Source organism: Homo sapiens, chromosome 2, assembly GCF_000001405.40.
Source record: "Homo sapiens chromosome 2, GRCh38.p14 Primary Assembly".
In the NCBI taxonomy this organism is placed as follows: Eukaryota; Metazoa; Chordata; class Mammalia; order Primates; family Hominidae; genus Homo; species Homo sapiens.
Window position 1 is genome coordinate 10,437,726 of NC_000002.12, and position 20,422 is coordinate 10,458,147.

The following is a 20,422-nucleotide window of genomic DNA, read 5'->3' on the forward strand; positions in this document are numbered from 1 at the left end:
AAATTCTTAGAACTGCTGGGTCAAAGATAATGTGGATTATTGATATTATCAAGTTCCCTCCAAAGAGACTGTTGCTCTAATTTACTTTTCCGCCCAGTGCTTGAGCACACCTGCTCACCCCGCGAGCTGGGGAACTCTTGTCTTTGCCAATCTGATAGGTGAGAAATAGATTCTCATAGTTTTACTGTGTGTTTCCTTTGGTTGACAAATGTCTTCATGTTCAAAAAGTTTACTGTTGGCTGGGCGTGGTGGCTCATGCTTATAATCCCTGCACTTTGGGAGGCAGAGACGGGTGGATCACTTGAGACCAGGAGTTCAAGGCCAGCCTGGCCAACATGGTGAAACCGTCTCTACTACAAATACAAAAATTAGCCCGGTGTGGTGGCATGCACCTGTAGTCCTAGCTACTCAGGGGGCTGAGGCAGAAGAATCGTTTGAACCCGGGAGACAGAGGTTACAGTGAGCTGAGATGGTGCCACTGCATTCCAGCCTGGGTGAGAGTGAGACTCTGCCTACCAAAAAAAAAAAAACTTTACTGTGAGCCAAGTTTATGCCTTGCCCACTTTCTATTGCATAGTTACTTTATTGATTTGTTGTTTTTAATATGAAGAAAATTAGTCCTTTTCACGGGCATTGTAGCCGTTGGTCCCTTGCCTTTTGACTTTGTTTCCAGTAGGTTTATGGTCTAATCTGTTATATTTAAAACTTTCATCTATCTGGAATGTATTTTGGAGCAGGAGTTGGGGATACTTTTATGTCTTCCAGATGGTTCTCCAGTTGCTCCAACACTACTCCATCCCCAGAGTCTGGGGAAAGTGGTCAGGGGGCAATAATGAGTATTTTTAAGAAGCACCCTAAGTGATTCTAATGCACTCTGGCTGCCTTTACCTTTGCCCAATAGTTCAATTCCCCTGAATCCCCTCTCCCGGGGGCCAGCACGCCAGGAAGAAATTCACAAGTGGTCTTGGTGGAGCTGTATTCACTTCAAGTCACGAGTCTAGAAATGCCCAGTATCTGTGCACGACCAGACAGCACCATCTTTAAAAATGACGTGGAGATACCCAAATGCAAAGCAGGACTTAAGCCTCCTGGAGGACGGTGCCTGGTGTCGACACAGCCCCGGCTACCGTCTGGCTGTCCTCGTTCTCTGGTCTCTCCTGCCAAATTCGCCTGCCTGCTCCCATGTACAAGGGCCAAGGAAGATCACTTGATCAAGCCTGGCCACATCATTTCACAGACCCAAGTCTGGCTTTGTTGGGGCCTGTAAGTGGCTACGCCAAGCTGTGGTCAGAAGCGAGGTTTCAGGGGCCACTCACGTGTAGCACGGGATTACCTGCGGCTGTTTCTGTCCCCACTGGCACTACTGACCGTTGTTGGATTACATTTTCCCTAACTGGCTGAAAGAGCATTGTTTCCAAAGCCTTAGTTGATTTTGAGTGGAATACCCCCCTTTTCAGTCCAAGCTCACCACTGCCACTAAGCGATCTCGGGAATTTCTTCCTTTTTAAGATGGAAGACCTAATTTACCAAGATTCTAGGCTTGGTGTCTAGCTCAAATTTCTTGGCACACAGTACATACTCAGTGCCAACTCTCTTAACATAGTGGGTCCCGGATCCCAGGGAACTGCCCTTGTTGGGGAGCTCAGAGTTACCCAAACACACCAGCATCCTACTTCTCAGGCTCCCGGAAGGTAGGGCTGTGGACTACAGCACTCCTTCCCGCCCTCCCCCTCCAGTCAGAACCAACCTCTGGCTCCTGAAAAAATCTTTCATGTTTTGGCAACCCTGGCCCAGGGAGACCAGAGTTGGTGATAAGCCAAGCCCTGAGCTAACTCGGCAGCCACATGAGGGCTCCTGGCTTCTCTGGACTCAGGGTTCAGGGGAAGGTGATGCTTTTGAGAAAGGAAGTCACTCTCTTCAGCTTTGGTAAATGGGTGACAGCATCGGCTTGACCTTCCCACCCCGGGAGGAGCCACAGCCTTCCTCCCTACACATTTGCTCTCTTCCTGTCCCCCTCATGAGGCTGGTGGGGACTCCAAGATGCTCCCACTGCCTGGTGGCTCTGACGTGTCCTTCCCTCCTCCTGCAGCTCCAGCGTTACCCGTAAGACATTGCCACAATGGGGGTTAAGGAGCATGAGAGCCTGCCACACTTTGGGGGAGAGCGGGGGTACACGTTGAGTAAAAGAACACACAAGGCCAGTGGTCATGGTCAGACAAGATGGTGAAGATACACAACATGGTAGGGACTTGCTGTTGCTGAATTTATTAAAATAAGCTGACTGCCAAATGTGGTACCGTATACATTCCTAACTTCTCACAGGCATGAAGGTGGGAGGGGACACGGATGGTCTCTGCAGGCCAGGCTCAAAGGGCCTCCCACACCTTCCCTGGGCACTGGCCTGGACAGGACAGGTCCGTCAGACTTAAGTAGGTCCCACCACCAGAGGCTCTGGACAAGGAGTTTGCAGCCAACTCTGGACATGTGGGGTGGGCTGAGCAGATGTGCACCGTCCACATGGGAGGATGGGGCTTCCGTCTCACCTGTCCTCCTACCTGTGTGTGGGTGGACCCACTCATTGTTCTCTGAGAATCAGAGCGAGCTATACGGGATTCGTGAACTGTCTGGAATGAACACACCATAAAAACGTCCCAATGCCTAATTATTTCAAGATACTTTATTTTAAAAACAGGTCACAACACTAAGCTTTTGGCCCATTCTGCCATTGTACAAGCTACAAATGCTTGTTCAGCAGCTGAGGGGCACTCTTGAGTAGCGTGTCTGAAGAGTGAATAAAAATCCATATAAAACAAATATTCAAATAGTTTCCATAGGAACACAGATAAGTGTGACCCATATCCTAGTCTTCCATATGGCTGCATCATGGCGACCCTACTCTTACAAAGACATTTCAAAACTAGCAGTAATTAAGTTACATGGTCCCCCCAAATCCCTTAATTCAAGCTAAACTTGCAGTTAACAGCTACCAGAGTGCTATCTACACATTAATACTAGCCGAAGCACAGGCTGCTCTGTGGCGTTTCATCCCACTCTCCCAGGCACAAGACACAGGCAGGGTGCTGGCATCCTGTTCCTCTACTTCGGGTGGGAAGTCGGGGTTCTGGAATTGCTGCATGAGTTGCCTGAGAAAGAAAAAGTGGCATATTAAAAACCCTGACTCACTCCTAACTGGGCATGAGAGTATTTACTTCCCATCAGGAAACAATTCAATGTATTTTTTTTTTTTCTGAGACAGGGTCTTTCTCTGTTACTCAGGCTGGAATACAATGGTGCTATCATAGCTCACCGCAGCCTCAACCTCCCAGGCTCAAGCAAACCTCTCACCTTAGCCAAGCAGCTGGGACTACAGGCGCCCACTACCATGGCCAACTAATTTTTTAATTTTTTGTAGAGACAGGGTCTCACTATGTTGCCCAGGCTCGAACTCCTGGGCTCAAGTGATCCTTCTGCCTTGGCCTCCCAATGTGTTGTGATTTCAGGTGTGAGCCAGCACACCTGGCCAATTCAATGTATTTCTAAAGCAAGCGTTTCTTCAGTCACCGTTTTGGTAATAAGGAAACCACAAGACACATGGCATGAACTTAAATATATTCCAATTACATAGAAATACACTCATCAGTCTTTTCTAAAACTTTTCTTAGGAAAAATATCCATATATATTTAATCTTAGGCAAGACAATTTCTTATTCGTCTAGACAAGAAGCACACATCCAAGAAGGTGCCTATTCTTGGCAGCACCATCAACATGCATGGCTTACTTACCACGCAGGCCCTGACATCACATAGTAGATCGTCGGCCTCTGGAAGCCATTGAACGTAGAGGCAGCAGCAACAGTGTAAGCGCCCATGTTTTCAAAGAGCATCCAATCACCCACATGCATTTCAGGCAGGTCACAGCGCTCAACAATCCGATCGAGGCCATCACATGTTGGTCCCCATATGCTGGATGAATAATACTTCTCATCTGGTTTAGGTCTCTATATAAAGAGACGGAGAGAGGAAGTACTACTTAATTACACGTGTTGTGACCAGTCCTCTTAATTGTTTTATACAGTATGCTCAGAAATTACCTTTTGCAGAAGGGGCTTTACATGTGCGTGGTCATAGAGTATGCAATTAAATGATCCATAGACGCCATCATTCACATAATACATAAAGGTCTGCTCACTCGACTCATCTTCGTCTAGAAAGGCAGATCAACAATCTTAATGACTTTTTGCATCAGCTTTCAGTTATACATGAAGTGATTCGTCCTTTATACATACCATCAGAGCCCGTCTGTTCCTTTAATACAATTTTCTTGGCAATGATATTAACTGCAAGCGTGAAAGCTGATGCAACATAGTATCTGCCGGGCTCAGCTATGATTCTCACTCCAGAGTCTGACGGAAAGTATTTGTCCAACGCTGGGTTGATTACGCCGGTGATCTAAGAGAGTGAAACAGAAAAGAAAGAGCAGCCTTCATTGTGGGAAATTCACATGGGGGAGTAACATCACAGGGCCTTGTGACATGACATCATGAGACCAGGCATCAACAGACAGGTTTATCATTAAAGTAACAAAAGCAAAAAAACATCAACATCTCCCTGAAAACCAGGCTACATATCCCAGGTGGCTCGTTTTCATTCCCCTCCAGGCACCCTATCTCCTTTAGGATGTTATGGGTATGATTTTTATCAAAGAACAGTACGCAACTAACTACTACCTAGGAAGGCATCAAGATGTCAAAACATTTTAACAAATACATGCCAACAGGATAAAAATCCTATTCTGCCTACGTCATGATTTTAACAAACCATGTGGATATATTTTATAAATTCAAGCACCAATATAATGGCTTAACTTCCTAAGTGACTAAACATTTCAAGTATTTTAAGGAGAGGAAGCATAGGTCTAGCAAAGCACATTTGGGGTGATGATGTGCTACAGTCAGCATATTCTCTAGGAAGCCCACAGCAACATGCTTTTTCTTTTTTTTTTTTGAGACAGGGTCTCACTCTGTAGCCCAGGCTGAGTGCAGTGGCATGATCATGGCTCACTGCAGCCTCAACCTCCTGGGCTCAAGTGATCCTCCCACCTCAGCCTTCCAAGTAGCTGGGATTACAGGTGCCCGCCACCACACCAGGCTAATTTTAAAATTTTTTTTGTAGAGATGGGGTCTCACTGTGTTGCCCAGGCTGGTCTCAAACTCCTGGGCTCAAGTGATCCTACCACCTTGGCCTCCCCAAGTGCTGGATTACAGGTGTGAGCCATGATTTCCAATGTAACCAATTATCCAAGACTTCTGGGAAAGCTGATTCACACTTTAGAAAACCAAATGGTATCAAGTGTAATGTCAGACAGCACAAAGAAATCACTCAAAATATCACACCAAGACACTTCAGCCCATTGTGGTATTAGTTAAGACACTTAAATTTTGAAATATTCCAAAAAGGAATTTATTAGAACGGCTACTGAGTATTACAGTTTTGTTCTAAATTACCTCTTCAAATTTAAGTTTCACATCCTCAGATCCAGGAAAGCCACCGCCAATATCAAGCAGATACATGCTGAAACCAACCTCAGCCTAGAATCAAGAAAATAAGTCAGCCAGATCCACAGCTAATAACAAAAATGTATGCAGCAGATAGGCTGAAACCCATGTAATACAGAACCAACTGCCATAAAAAGTTAACTCTAGAATTAAGACTAGTTATTGTCAGTTGTGTCCCGCCCTTCCCTAACAGGGTCACGTATACTCACCCCCATGTCAAAAACACAGCGGGCATCAGAGATTGCCTGCACGAAGGTCTCAGGATCGGTACAGCCGCTTCCTACATGGAAGCTGGGGTAAAATAAAGAGACGAGACACTGTGTCTTAGTATTTCTTAAAATAATAGCAAACACTAGGAGAAAGCCTGTAAAACTCAAACTGTTCAATGTCTTGACCTCTAGCTATCCCACCAAAATCTCACCTGACACCAACAACATCGATATTTAGCTCTTTCGCCCGTTCCAAAAGGAGCCTGCTGGTTCTGAGCGTGGCACCGAATTTCACACTGAGACGACAGACTGCTTTGGAATCATCAGTGGCAATCCGCAAAACCAACCTACAAGCAAGGAAAGTGCAGCAAATGTCTCATGATAGATGTTCACTTATAGCCACAATTAAAATAAAAACAATCCTGTTCTAAATACTGTCGCTGATATATTCTGTAGTTTGAGTCCCAGGCTTCATGACTCAATGGGGGTTTCAACTACTTTCTACTAAAGTATAGAAATATAATAATCAGAAATTTAAGTTTGTTTGATAAGAATCCACATATCTTATGCTCCCGATCTTGCCCTCAGATGGGGGAATAACTCACTTTGCTTTGGGATGTGCTCTGGCAACTTTCATCAACTCAACTTCACTATCAAAAGTCATCATCTGGACTCCATTATTAGCAGCATACTTAATTTGAGATACTTGTTTACAAGGATTTGCATAGATAATCCTCTCTGGAGGCACCCCCAGACTCTGCACCAACTGTATTTCAGTCTGAAAAAGAAGAGTGGTGTCATGCTATCCATATGTGGCTTAACACGTGGAATAAACAGAAAAGCATGGGAAGTTGTCATGTACCCCCCCGCCCCATTTGCCTTTAGTGAGCATTTATTGCCCAAAAAACACAACTTGTATCTGCCTCGTGGGGAATACCAGGCCCATTTTATACAACGCTTTTGAGGCCTGCTGCTATCGCTTACCTTGCTAGCACAGTCAAATCCTGTCCCGGTAGCAGCAAGGGTCTTCACGATGGCTTTGCTATCATTACATTTGACTGCATAAAAGGGGGTGACACGAGGGAGAGCTTTTAACCACCTCAGATGTTTCTTTAGAATGTCTCCCAGGTCTGCCACATAGAAGGCATCCTTATCATCCTGAAACAAGAGTGGTCACAGGTGACTCACTAGCAGCCTCACCACACACCACACCAATAGCCAGCGACCTTCATTCCCATCAGTCACAATGAATCCTGCTCTTTTGAGTCTAGCCACTGATATGAGTATCACCATTATCACTATTAATTTACCACCAGTGAATTAATTTCTACATTCCATAACAAGACATGTAAGCCTCATTGCTCTTCCTTAGACCTTGCCAAAGTTTTCCACTTGCCTGGCACTCTCAGCTGCACTGCCAGCATGGGCCTCATATACTTACAGAAGAAGAAACTTCATTAATTTTCTGGTCCAGAATGTCCTTGGCAGTAAAACCTTCATCGAGGAAGTGGCAGTCAAACTCTTCATTACCAAAGTTGTTCATGATTTCTTGATGTTCCTCTGAAATGCAACAAAATGCAAATAGAGTGGAGAAATTCACTTAGAAGCCTTAGCAATACAATTCTTAAGATTAACCTGCAACATAAATGTAAACTGAATACTTACATGGAAAACTAAGAGATGGAATTGAAAGAAATATTTCCAGCTTCTCACAAAGGCAACTCTCCAGGAATTCCAAATCCCTCTGCGTGTGCCCTTGGAACAGCAGTGACAATCTGAGAAATAAAATAGGGAATTTGCTGTCTACCTTAGGAACACATCGAGTTGAAGATGGGGCACTGGCTGAGCACACGCAGAGCTAATCATGCCCCGGATATGAACCACTCACTGGCCTGGTCATCCTAATTATTACTAGGCATAAGGTACATGATTCCATAAACCTTGGCAGTATAAGGACACAACAAAAAATACCAGGTTTTTCCAAGGCAGCACACTAAGCATTTCAAATATTTGTACCAAAAAAATCTAGCATGCAAGTTTCAGAAGCTTATCTGCACTTAGCTCACTGATATGGAAAAAAGTCTTATAATGGTCTGATTTATTTCAGAGCAGTTTCAGTTCCTTAGAAACTTAAAATAGCATTATAGACTTTTTTATTTTTTTTGAGACAGAGTCTCACGCTGTCACCCAGGCTGGAGTGCAGCGGTGCAATCTTGGCTCACTGCAACCTCTGCCTCCCGGGTTCAAGCGATTCTCCTGCCTCAGCCTCCCCAGCAGCTGGGATTACAGGCGCCTGCCACCATGCCCGGCTAATTTTTGTGTTTTTAGTAGAGACAGGATTTCACCACGTTGTCCAGGTGGGTCTCAAACTCCTGACCCCAGGTGATCCACCCGCCTCGGTCTTCCAAAGTGCTGGGATTACATTATAGCCTTTATACACAGCCATACAAACATTTCCTACTTCCACTAAGTCTTAGAATGATTTTTACTGACCAACAGGCATCATGGAAATGTCTGGAGCATTTGAGATTTTACGAGTTAATTTTCATGTATTAGCTGGGTATATACTTCTTAAAAACTGTAATCTTCAAGTCAACTTATCACATTGTATTACAGTTGCTGTTACCTGATCAGAATTCAGTATTTTTTTTTTTTTTTTTTGAGACAGAGTTTTACTCTTGTTGCCCAGGCTGGAGTGCAATGGCATGATCTCGGCTCACCTCAACCTCCGCCTCCTGGGTTCAAGCGATTCTCCTGCCTCAGTCTCCCGAGTAGCTGGGATTACCGGCATGTGCCACCACACCCGGGGCCTGGCTAATTTTATATTTTTAGTGGAGATGGCGTTTCTCCATGTTAGTCAGGCTGGTCTCCAACTCCCGACCTCAGGTGATCCGCCTGCCTCAGCCTCCCAAAGTGTTGGGATTACAGGCGTGAGCCACCACGCCCGGCTAGAACTCAGTATTCTTAAACCAGCGTTGCCTACCAAGTTTAGCAATTCCGGGAATGCCAACTGTCCTTACAGTCACTCTCGTATTTGCTTAGCTATGAGAATAATTTGGGGCTAACTTCACCAAAAAAGAAAAACAAGCAAGAACATCACTCTAGTAACAATAAAAGCCACTGTATTTTGCTTTCATCAAATGTGGCACCTTGTGAACCAGCTTTCTTAAAATTATTTATTTTAACCTTTAAAAATTTCTGCCAGGTAGAGCTTTCTTCTTTTCCACTGTGCAACCCACTTCAGTGCCAGCAGCCTACGGGCACAGAGGCCAGGCAATGGTTCGGGGACACAGTTTGCTCTGGCATGGGGTACTATGACAGGCCCAGGGTGACGGGCCTGTCATAAATCCAAACCCATGCATAGAATTTGCTTTAAAGCTCTATCTATTGTGACTGCTTGGCATTGTCAACCTCCGAAGTTGCCTAAATCACCCCTCGGAGAAGGGAAGAGAGTAACAACGCTAGCAAAACCATTTTTGTTACAGACATGGTTATATATTTTTGTTTATATGAAGAATATTTACAATTTAATAATAAATAGGCTCATGCAGTCTCGGACTGGGTCATTTGAGGCCTTATTAAATATTTTTAAGGCAATGTTCAGGCCTAAACTTGGAAAGTTTTGATTTCTTTTTAATACGCCAATACTTTTTTGCTTTTCTGTATCTTTTAAGGCGTTACTTAAGTAACTTACTTGAATATATTTTACTGAAGAACACCTTTCGGTCTTTCTGTAACAGCTAAGTTATTTAAAATGGTCAATCAATTAGCACAAGAGGATAATGTTAGAAGAGATAGGGGCTAATTCAAACAAACTTTGAAAAAAATTTCACAAATCAATTAAAGTCTGCCCAATTTTATGTTTAAACAAAGTCAGCCAACACATTCTTTGTCCTCCCCAGACATTCCTGAGAGGTTCTGCCTTCTACACTTTCACCAATTATTTCGACTTCGCAAACAGCACAATCAGCCTTTTCTGCAAACCTTAGGGCTGTCTCCCCTGTGTATGTCCGTTCATCTAAGCCAAGCTTTTCCGAAATCACCGAGTCATTCACAGTCCTTAAATAAACACCTCTAAGTCATGGCCGAGCATCTAATATCACAGCTACTACAGCAAGACTATCTTAGCTCTACCCACTCTCGCGGGTTTCCAAATTGGTGTCATCTGCTCTGTAGACACAGCGAAAATAAAAACTGGAAGGAAACTGAAGGCGCCAAGGCCGGGGCCCGCTCGTCTGTACCAAGGCGAGCCCGGGCTCTGCGCCCCTGCACCTGCTGCGCGGCCGCCAGGGCCTCCCCAACGGCTCCCCGGCCAGCGCGCGGCCGCCGAAGGGTTGGGAAAGAGGCCGGCGCGGGGCCGCAGGGTCTCCGGGTGGGTCTCCCCTAGGCCCCTCCAGCCCCGAGCTGTGAAGACGGGGGCAGAACGAGGCGCCCGGATCACCCTTATCCAGCCGCGGGAGAACCCCGGGCCGGGAGGAAGCGGCGCCTCAAGGTCGTGGCCCGCTCGGCGACCACGTGTCTCCGCAGGCCGGCGAGGCGCGCCGCACACGTGCCCGGGGCCCGGGGCCCGCAGCCCGCCCCGGCTCCCGCCCTCGCTCCCTCCCTTCCTCCGCGGCCGGGGAGTCCCTCACCTCAGAGCGCCCAGGCGCCGCAGGCCAGCCCCATGGGGAAGCGCAGACGCCGGAGCCTGAGTCGCAGCCGCAGGAGCGCTCGGCCGCCCCCGCCGCGCCCGTCAGCGCCTGGCTCCCGCCCGCCGGAGACGCCGGCCCGAGGTGGCGCCGGAGCTGCTGGCAGAGGGGCGGCGGGCGGCGGCGGCGGCGGCTACAGGAGGGACTGACAAAGCCCCACGGCACGCCGCTCCCTACTTATAGCACCGGCGGGTCGCCATGGAGACGCACCAGCTCAAACCAGCCACGATCGGTTCCGGCCGGGACACCGCCGGGGGAGGGGCGGGGGCCCGGCGGTGGCCAACCCGGGCCCGCGCGGAGCTGGTGGGGCGCCGGCGGGCCGACGTCAGCCGAGCCGAGCACCGCCTGCCCCACGCGTGGCCCCCGCCCCCGGCTTCGCGCCCCGCCCTCCCCGCCCTGCGGCCGCCTCTCCCCGCCCTCCCCGCCCTGCGGCCGCCTCGCCCCGCCCCGCCCTGCGGCGGTCTCGCCCGCCTGGAACTGGTCCGCGCACGCGCACGACGCCGCAGGCCCCGGCCCCGGCCCGCGGCAGCTGAACGGCAGAGCCTGTAGCTGCACAGCTGTGCTTCCACCTGGCGTTCAGTACCTCGTGCCCGAGAGCGGAAAAGGGAAATCGCGAGCGGAGGACCGATGTGCTGGCCACGTGGGCCCCGCCGGGCCGACTCCGGACCCTGCTGCCGCCCATTCCTCCGGTGCAAGGGACCTGGAAGTGATCCCGGTGCCGCTCTGCTCCCACCAGCTAGGGAGCAGAGGCGCGGGAGGGAAGGGGCGTCCCGGGGGTCGCCAGCACGCTGCGGGCAGGGCTGGCAGCCGCCTCCACGCCCCCGCGCTGGAAGCCTCGTCTTTGTAACATCGAGGTATCCTGTAACTAGATGGGTCCTGGCCTGCGGAGGTAGTTTCCCCTGTGAAGCCAGGGACTCAGCCAGGAGCGTGAGGGGACCCGGATCCTGAGTCTCCAAGCCGCCCACTACCCTCTGCTTTACCGGATGGAACTCATCAGTAACTAGGTATCTTTAAGGGCGGCTCCCTGGCGCGCTCTGAGAGTTACGGAAGTCCCAAAATGCTTTGACCGAAAACGTCTAAACAGTGAATACATAAAGCAAAAAGCCGCGTGGGAAATTCGAGTCCCTAGGAGCGCCCAGGGGACGCCTCTGGAGGTGGACTGCCACTCACTCCAGGCCACGCTGGAATGCCCGCACCAGGGAGGCACTGCACTTGAATTGGGGACACTTTTTTTTTTTTTTTTCATTTTTACCTTTCATTCCCTTTTGGACAATCCAGACAGGATATGTCTCTCCCTAGGGTGGGGATTTCGACTCCTTAGGGTGGGAGTACAGCCGATGAAGAGTTAAGGAGAGGAGTGGGTAGATCTAGATCTAGCCTTGGGTGGGTGGGGGCGGGGTTGGAGGAGCTCAGAGCACTGGCCCAGCGCTGCCCCCAACTTGCTGTGTGCTCTTGGACAAGTTATCTCCCTTCTCTGGGCTTCAGATAACCCAAGGATCCTTACATATCTTTATAGCTACAAAGCCCTGTGAGGTTTTGAAAAACTTCCTTGGTACCCAAAACCAGGTCTGAGGCACAGTCAGTGAATACCTGTTTAATGAATGCATGCATAAATGAATGAATGGATGATCCAGCTCTTCCTGGAGCAGGCACGACTTCCACAGAAACAGAGCAAACGCTAGCCGTAAGCAGAAGTGAGTCTTCTTCCTATGTGAAGGGATGTGGGGGTGGTACGCCCCTATCAACTTTATCTTTACATAGTCCTTGAGCGCCCACCGGGCACCGTGTTCCCCGGACTAGAGGGAGGGAGAGGGGGGTTAGCTCCACCCTTAACAAGCTTAATTCTTGATGAGATTAACCATCAAAACCCATCAGAGAACGTTATAGCTCCAGCGCTGAATGAGACATCTTTGATTCTGTGGTGATGCGGACTTTGTGCCTCTCTGTGAGGAATCACTTTGTTCCAATGACGCAATTTTCCTCACACTCCGGAAGTGTCCTGCACTGCCAGAATCGCCCAGCTTCCCGGCACACCTATCAACCAGTCGTTCCCAGCACTGCCCAGTATGCAGCCTCCAGGCAGAGGGCCTGGATGTCTTGGCAGGTAGGGTTCCCCTAGCAGCCTGGGGGTGGTCAGATAGAAACATTAACTGGAACGTAGAGGCCAGTTCTTGGCTCAGGGAGCCAGGAGGGCTCTGACTGTTGCACATACAAGCCACTCACACTGCTATCGCCCACATACCTTCCTCTCCCGCCAGCCCACCCCAAAGCCCAAACTCCTGCCCGCATGCTGGGAAGGTGAGCCCTTGCCTGGAGAGCCCAGCAGGGGAAATAGAAGGAGGGAAGGAGGCCTGCTCCTTCCCCGGAGCTCTGCTCTGCGGCTGCAGGAAGACCCGCAGAGGCCCTGGGCAGCAGAACTGTGGACAGCAAGGCTGGAGTTGTGAAACCCAACCACTCAGCTGGATTCCAGAAGCTCAGGTGGTGGTGACTAAACCTGGCCTTACTTAAAATGCATGACTTTATTGTCTTTCAATGTATTTTCAGTAAACTTCATCCTCTCCATTACTATTTTCTTTTCTTCGGAAACAAGCAACAGATCTTTGTAAAAAAAATACGTGATGCCACGCACTTAGGAATCACCCTCATGTGGAGATGAGATTTCTTTTTTATTTTTTTTTTCTGAGAGTCTCACTCTGTTGCCCAGGCTGGAGTGCAGTGACGTGATCTCGTCTCACTGCAACCTCTGCCTCCCAGGCTCAAGCGATTCTCATGCCTCGGCCTCCTGAGTAGCTGGGATTACGGGCATGTACCACCGTGCCCAGCTAATTTTTGCATTTTTAGTAGAGATGGGGTTTCGCCATGTTGGCTAGGCTGATCTCAAACTCCTGACCTCAAGTGATCCACCCACCTCGGCCTCCCAAAGTGCTGGGATGACAGGCGTGAGCCACTGTGCCTGGCCAGAGATGAGACTTCTATGTGTGGTGCTAAAAGAGTGAATAAAAACATTAGATACTACACTGGACATGCTTCTAAGAGCTTAGTCATCTCACCTAAGTTCTGGGACCAACTCCCATTTTCTTAGGATTCCTTGGGCCCCCTTACCACCCCCCCGCCGCTCTGCCCCGCTCATTATGAAAGTTTGGACATCACTCTGTCTCTCTGGGTTCCAGACTACCTTTCTGAAAATGGGGTGGTTGGACTGGCTGAAAGCTCAGGTTCTTCTTTCCTTCTAATGTTCTAAGAATCTACTTATTTCACAGAGTTCTGTATAAATCCACTGACCAAGTTTTCTAAACCAAAACCAAAAACATGTCTGATGAAGGAAGTATCTTTTTTCTTCTTTGCTAACTTACATGAAAAGGCTTATAAAGGTATATAGTGATTGCAGACTTAAGCAGTCACCCTTATCATTATTATTATTATTATTTGAGTCAAGAGGCTTGCTCTGTTGCCCAGGCTGGAGTGCAGTGGCGCAATACTGGCTCACTGCAACCTCTGCCTCCCAGTTTCAAGCAATTCTCCTGCCTCAGCCTCCTGAGTAGCTGGGAATCCAGGCGCCCACCACCACATCCAGCTGATTTCTCTATTTTTAGTAGAGATGGGGTTTCACCATGTTGGCCAGGCTGGTCTCAAACTCCTGACCTCAAGTGATCTGCCTGCCTTGGCCTCCCAAAGTGCTGGGATGATAGGCGTGAGCCACCGCGCCTGGCCTCACCCTTATCAAAAAGAAGTAGGTCACATAGAAGACAATAACCAGCAAGCATTTGTGTATCCATTTACTCAGTATTGGAAAGTTTGACATTGAGAGCTTTCTGGAAAATGGGTTTGGGCGCTGCTTACGTGTCCGTGGTTGTACTCTACTTCACCAAACTTCTTCCAGAAGCATAGAAGAGTGGACTGTGGAGTGAGGCTCATGACCTCCAGCCCCATGAGGACTTTGGGAGGTTAGCTTCTGCCCTGGCAAGGGTGCCCTAACTCAGGACACCTGGGTAATGGGGACTAGTCACAGATGCTCTAGTCCCATCTGGATGTTTGGCCAAAAATAGTTTTCCTTAGCTCAGTCACTCACCAGTCCTTTAACCTTGCCCTTTGAATGGTTTTAGGTGTTTCCGAAAAATCCAATCCACCCTCCAAGGTGGAAAGTGTGCCATCTCTGCCCATAATCCAAATGGCGTGCCTGAGGCATAGAAAGCAGCTTTCAGGGAGGCCTTCCTTCCTCTGAGCAATGGTGGCATCATCAGAAAAGTGGAGCTCCTCCAAAAGGATCTGCTGGAAGCAGAGGACGCCCATGTGTAAGTGGAAGTCCCAGGATGTTTGTTTTATAAAGTGTTACATCACGGCCCTACCTTGCCCCAGCCCTGGTGTGGCTCACTGGGAAGCTGCTGGGAAAGGAGCCAAATAGGAACTAGGCCAGGGCCTCCTGGAGCCCAGAAGGGCCCTGGGGGCAGGTCAGTGGGCACACACAGTTGCAGAGAAGAGGGGGCCCTTGTCTGGAGGCTGAGAGTTTGGAAGAGTACTTTTTTTTTTTTTTTTTGAGACACAGTCTTACTCTGTCACCCAGGCTGGAGTGGTGCAGTGGCACAATCTTGGCTCACTGCAGCCTCTGCCTCCTGGGTTCAAGTTATTCTTATGCCTCAGCCTCCTGAGTAGCTGGGACTACAGGCGTGCACCACCACTCCTGGCTAATTTTTTGTATTTTTAGTAGAGACAGGTTTTCGCCATGTTGGCCAGGCTGGTCTCAAATTCCCGACCTCAAATGATCCGCCCGTCTCAGCCTCCCAAAGTGTTGGGATTACAGGTGTGAGCCGCCGCACCCGGCCTGGAGGAGTTCATTTTCATGGGGAAAGTGATGTTTATCATTATTTTGCTTCCCACTTCCTTGTCTTTTTCAGTGGGCAGAAGTCAGAGTCCCATTAAGCCTGTACCGAGTCAGTATTCAGACATGCCATCCGACACGTGGACAGAAGCTTTGCCATCTGCCTACTTGGCTTGTCTGTTTCAAGCCCTTCACTGGTGGCCCTGGGTCCACAGAGTAAAGTCCAAACACCTTAGCCTGGCACCCAGGACCCTCTGAGGCCTGCCCTGCCCACCCTCCCAGCCTCTTTTGCCACTCCAGCTCCCTGAGCCACTGATGTTCCACAGACCCTGCCCCTGCCATCGTAACGTGGGTCACGTGGTGTGGGCACCTTTGTTTCCTGCCTCCATCCTGCCTTCCCCTCCCCGCAACTCTCCCTTTGAAATCAGGACCATGATTTTCTTCTCTCCATATGTTCAGTTTCTAGCCTGGTTCCTGGCTCACAAAGCCATTCAATATTGTCAAGTTGAAACTGGGTTTAGTAGCACCTGTGGGCTATTGGGAACAAAAGAAAGCAAGCGAGGCTGTGCTGAAAAGTGGTCATTTGTGGTTGCTATACGAGTGATTAGCTCAGGAGAATTTCTCCCCACGTGCTATCTAAGATTAGGGGAACAAAAGACCCTGGGTGTTCTTCCTTTAGTCAGTTGTTTGTTGATTCATTCCATACGTGTCTGCTGAGTGCCACCTGTGTGCAAGTGGCAGGCAGGACAAGGGAGGACCCTCTGTGGCTGGGCCGGGTTCCTGGGGACCAGCAGGGAATTGATAAGAGCCAAGAGAAGCCTCGCTTTTACCCAGTGCCTAAGGAAACTGCCTCTTTTGTTTTATTTTCTCCTAAGCGCCTGGTGACTCCCTCTGACCCAACAAGTTGCAGCACCTCTGCTGGGCTTTGCCACTGCCCCATTTTTGCCAGAGCCTCACCCTGGTGGGGCCCCACCTCTGGGAAGCCCCAGCGCCTGCAAGATTTTTTCCTCTCGTGACAGGGAGCAGCATGCGGAGGGCCCTTGCACAACCTGGGTCTTCAGGAAGGTGAGTGCTCTGCCCAGGGGCAGTGTGAGCTCTGCGTCCCTGCCAAGTCAGAGGCGGGACCATCCGAAGGGCCTGTGGCTGGGGTCTGCTACACCGAGCCTTGCGGGCCCTCCAAGGGGTAGGGTACCCTGAGGGCAGTGCTCCCTGTCTCTGTTCTAACAGCTGTGAGCACTTGCTCTGTGCCAGCGCCCCTGCCAGGTGCCAGGGAGAAGGAGGGGAGGCCAAGGAGGTCCCTGTGCTCCAGGAGCTCATGGTCCAGAGGGGAGGCTGCCCCCAGGCTTGTGCTCTCTAGGTTCTGGTCCCTGGGACAGTGGTCACACAGACAAAGGAGGTGGACGCAGCCGAGGGAGCAGGGGCCTGGGTTTGGAAAGGCTCGTCCAGGGCCAGGGAGAGTTAGGGAGGGGCCTGCAGCACCCAGGGCAAGAATAAGACCTGTGGGCACCAAGGGAGGCTCCCGCCCACAAGCCCAGCTTTCCTCTGGGAGAGGACTGAGGGCTGTGAAGGGGAGAGCAGAGGAGGAGTCACTCTGGGGAGCAGCCTCTCACCCCCAGGGGCTGCTACTTCACCCAGCTCCAGCCTCCATCAGTCCATCCAAATCCTGGCTGACAGCAGGGCCCCGCCATCGTAGAAGGCAGGTCGGCCTCCACATGCGGGCACAGAATGTTTCCCTTTGGCATTCCATGCCCTGTATGGCTCAGGGCCCAGGCAGGCAGTTCAGCAGAGGGAATTTAGCAAGAGAACTAGTTACAGAGATGACATGTCTTACAGCTGCAGGAAGCCACTATCACCCAGAGGACTGGGGATGAAAGGGGACGAGGGTCCCCAGCAGCGTGGCAGCCACCTGTGGGCTGTCCCAGAGAAACCCACTGACCACCAAGGGCAAGCAGCTAGTGCTGGGGAGGCTGCGAAGCCAAGAGAGGGAGAGGGAGATGGAGACAGAGAGGAGGGACAGGAGCCAGCTCTCCCCTCCGCCCATCCTCCAGGCTCCCACCAGCACTTCCCAGTCAGAAGCCTGTTGACAAGAGATCCCGGTCAGTGTCATTTTCCAAGGCCAGCCCTGTCCACTCCACCAGAGAAACAGCAGAGGCACAGTGGGAGTGGGGAATGGGTCTGAGAGCGGGCGGGCAAGGGCAGGCTCGGCCCCTTGGCGGTAGGCCCGTCAGAGTCTTCCTTCTGCCTTCTTGTAGGACAGTTTCTAACCAGAGTTCTGGTAAGCACTGGTGACATTTCACATTGGCTTAAGCAATAAGGAAAAGCAGTCATCTCACGTAGCAACGTGGCTTGGGGAAGGGAGTCTCCAGTTTCATGTATTCGGAGCCTCAAGAACAACGTTGAAGACCTGGATTCTTTTCCTGTTTTTGCAGTTCCTTGCCCAGGTGTTGGCCCAGCTCTCTTCATGGTTCCAAGAAGGCTGCCCCAGGAAGGCTTGTGGACAGAGGGAGAAGCATCTCTTCCTCTATGTCTCTTTTTATCTAAGAAACCAGTTTGACCAGCATCCTTCCCCTCGGCTCCCCAGGAGGAATGCACGGATCCCTTCGCCTTCCCCCATCCCTCCATGGTTGACTAAACCCACTAGGATCCACTCTTTTGCGTGGAAATGGGTTCAGGCCTCCCACGAAGAGCATGAAGATGCCCTCTGTTATGGGTTACATTATGTCCCCTGCCCCCGAGACCGTATGTTGAGTCCTAACCCTAGTATTGCAGAACGTGAATTTATTAGGAGATAGGGTCTTTATGGAGGTCATTAAGTTAAATGAGGGTGTTAGGGTGGGCTGGTGTCCTGATATAAAGGGGAAATTTGGGGCTGGGTGTAGTGGCTCACACATATAATCCCAGTGCCTCGAGAGGCCAAGGCAGGAGGATTGCTTGAGGGCAGGAGTTCAAGACCAGCTTGGGTAACATAGGGAGACCGGTATCTATAAAAAAAATTAAAAACAAAAAAATTAGCCGAGTGTGGTGGTGCATGCCTGTAGTCCCAGCTACTCAGGAGGCTGAGGTGGGAGGATCGCTTGAGTCCAGGAATTTGAGGCTGCAGTGAGCCATAAAAAGATGGGGGACGATGGAGACGCACAGGGAAAACACCTTGTGAATGCGGCAGAGATAAGGGTGATGCCTCTACACACCGAGGAACTTCAGAGACAACCAGTAAGTCACTGGGAGCTCGGGGAAGGCACAGCGCAGATGCTCGCTGCCCTCAGAGGGAAGCCAGCCCGCCAACCCCTTGATCTCAGACCTCTGGCCCCTGGAACTGTGAGATGATAGATTTCTGTCGTTTAAGCACAGTGGTGCTGTGTTATAGCAGCCCTAGGGAACCATCCACTATCAGAACAAAAGCAGGGCTGGACTGCTAGAAGAAAGGAGAGGAGAATGGCAGAGGATACCCACCTTGGGGCTGAATCTGAGATCACTCCAGGGCTCCCCAGGTTGTTTTGAAGAATGGAGATGGATTTGTGCAGGGCTCACTGTAGAAGCTCAGTGCAGCATGCGACGCTTATAAGGCTGCAATCCCCAGAGCTCAGTCCCTGAAGAGCGCTGCATTCACAGACATCAGCCAGCAGACAAACCAGTACCTATTGTCCCTGACCCCCAGAATCCAGCAGACATATAAAAGATGGTTGTTAACCCCACTAAGTTTTGGGGTAATTTGTTATGCAGCCATGCAACTGAAAGAAGCAGCTACAATATTTTTATAATGAAATTCTTAGCCAGGACCCTCATAGCCTAGCAAGAAGTTCTGTCTGGAAGAGCCCAGCTTTGGGGTTGGGTATGTCTGGGTTTTAATATGTCAAGAGGGCAGGCCCTGGAGACGGAGCACATGGATTTGAATCCCAGCCTCTCATAGGCAGGTTAATTAATTTCCCTGAATCTCAGTTTCTTCATCTCTCAATGGAGAAAATAATAGAAGCCACCTCACGGGAATTAAATGAGATTATTTACGCACAGCACCAAGGCTGTGGCTACTGTATTTGACCCCTGAAACAGTTAATTTTTCTTGACATCCCTTCCTTGGTATATGTATTAGTCAGGGTTCTCTAGAGGGACAGAACTAATAGGATATCTCTCTCTCTATAGATTTATATAAAGGGGAGTTTATTAAGTATTAACTTACACAATCACAAGGTCCTGCAATAGGTCGTCTGCAGGCTGAGGAGCAAGGAGAGCCAGTTCAAGTCCCAAAACTGAAGAACTTGGAGTCTGATGTTCGAGTCCAGGAAGCATCCAGCACAGGAGAAAGATGGAAGCTGGGAGGCCAGGCCTGACTCTCCTTTTCATGTTTTTCTGCCTGCTTTATATCCGCTGGCAGCTGATTAGGTGGTGCCCACCAGATTAAGGGTGGATCTGCCTTCCCCAGCCCACTGACTCAAATGTTAATCTCTTTTGGCAACACCCTCACAGACACACCCAGGATCAATACTGTCAGTTCAATCAAGTTGACACTCAGTATGAACCATCGCAATACAATAGGATTACTTTCTGTGATAACCTGTGTAAAAATAGGCAGTCATGATTTTCCTGTTGTGTTCTTCAGGTGTAAAACAAAAAATTTTAAAAGAAGAAACTTCAATTTTAAAGATATTATTCAAACTAAGTTAAACATTTTGTGTATAAATTAAAACAATAAATTTTGTTTGCATGTATCAAACAAAAATATTCCATCTTGCAGTTAACATTTTCACTGTTTAAATTTTCAACACCAAAATCCCATGTGTAATGATGGAATTTAACTGGTTAAATGCTGCCTCTTTGCCTTCACAATCACAGTGGTACTGTTTCTTGCAAATGTCATGAGAGTTGGAGATATGTCTTGCTCCTGTTTTGGGCGCAAAGGTGAGGTGGTCAGTTGTTGGTCTGGGACTTTCAGTGCTAAAATCAGAAAAGTCCTGGGTGAACCGGAACAAGTTGGCCCGCCAGCTGAAGGACTGAAAAAACTTTGGACACTTTCCCAATGAACACGTAGCCAAATCTGTGTGAATCAGAGGCCAGCTGTGGAACCAGGAGTTCTCTGAATTAATTTAGGTGCGGAATATGTTTATGAAAGGACAACTAATAAAAACCTGAAGTTCACATATGTATTATTAAAACACCATC

At 49.4% G+C, this 20,422-nt stretch overlaps 1 protein-coding gene, 1 long non-coding RNA gene and 1 other non-coding gene across 6 annotated transcripts, besides 3 other annotated features; 1 reads left to right on the forward strand and 2 right to left on the reverse strand.

Annotated features, from left to right (window-relative positions):
• On the reverse strand, positions 2,243-10,602 carry ODC1 (ornithine decarboxylase 1). 4 transcript variants are annotated; one of them, NM_001287188.2, is made up of 12 exons: positions 10,396-10,602; positions 7,430-7,539; positions 7,206-7,324; positions 6,749-6,822; positions 6,370-6,542; positions 5,977-6,111; positions 5,765-5,846; positions 5,505-5,588; positions 4,287-4,449; positions 4,092-4,204; positions 3,784-3,998; positions 2,243-3,143 (listed from the first exon to the last, which is right to left on the reverse strand). In NM_001287188.2, the coding sequence occupies exons 5-12, from the start codon at positions 6,429-6,431 to the stop codon at positions 2,999-3,001; spliced, it is 999 nt and encodes a 332-aa protein (NP_001274117.1). In that variant the 5' UTR covers positions 6,432-6,542; positions 6,749-6,822; positions 7,206-7,324; positions 7,430-7,539; positions 10,396-10,602; the 3' UTR covers positions 2,243-2,998. The 4 variants fall into 4 exon arrangements, with proteins under 4 accessions (NP_001274117.1, NP_002530.1, NP_001274119.1 ...); NM_002539.3 differs by having other exon boundaries at positions 6,749-6,922; NM_001287190.2 differs by lacking the exon at positions 10,396-10,602 and adding an exon at positions 9,903-10,287 and having other exon boundaries at positions 6,749-6,922.
• Positions 8,539-8,768: a silencer, noted in NCBI's record as "fragment chr2:10586390-10586619 (GRCh37/hg19 assembly coordinates)". NCBI's record gives its function as "represses an EF-1alpha promoter that drives an FKBP-Casp9 reporter gene in an ReSE screen in phorbol 12-myristate 13-acetate-treated (for megakaryocytic differentiation) K562 erythroleukemia cells {active_cell/tissue: K562(+PMA)}" and the evidence as "EXISTENCE:reporter gene assay evidence [ECO:0000049][PMID:32094911]".
• Positions 8,989-9,124, reverse strand: SNORA80B (small nucleolar RNA, H/ACA box 80B). Its single transcript, NR_028374.1, has one exon. It is a non-coding gene; the product is annotated as a small nucleolar RNA, H/ACA box 80B (small nucleolar RNA).
• Positions 9,783-9,872: an enhancer, noted in NCBI's record as "active region_15304". NCBI's record gives its function as "activates an Ori minimal core promoter by ATAC-STARR-seq in GM12878 lymphoblastoid cells {active_cell/tissue: GM12878}" and the evidence as "EXISTENCE:reporter gene assay evidence [ECO:0000049][PMID:35858748]".
• Positions 9,993-11,472: a silencer, noted in NCBI's record as "silent region_11165". NCBI's record gives its function as "represses an Ori minimal core promoter by ATAC-STARR-seq in GM12878 lymphoblastoid cells {active_cell/tissue: GM12878}" and the evidence as "EXISTENCE:reporter gene assay evidence [ECO:0000049][PMID:35858748]".
• Positions 12,003-17,827, forward strand: ODC1-DT (ODC1 divergent transcript). The gene is made up of 5 exons (NR_110597.1): positions 12,003-12,146; positions 12,328-12,556; positions 14,556-14,744; positions 16,144-16,333; positions 17,698-17,827. It is a non-coding gene; the product is annotated as an ODC1 divergent transcript (long non-coding RNA).
• The last annotated feature ends 2,595 nt before the right edge of the window (positions 17,828-20,422 follow it).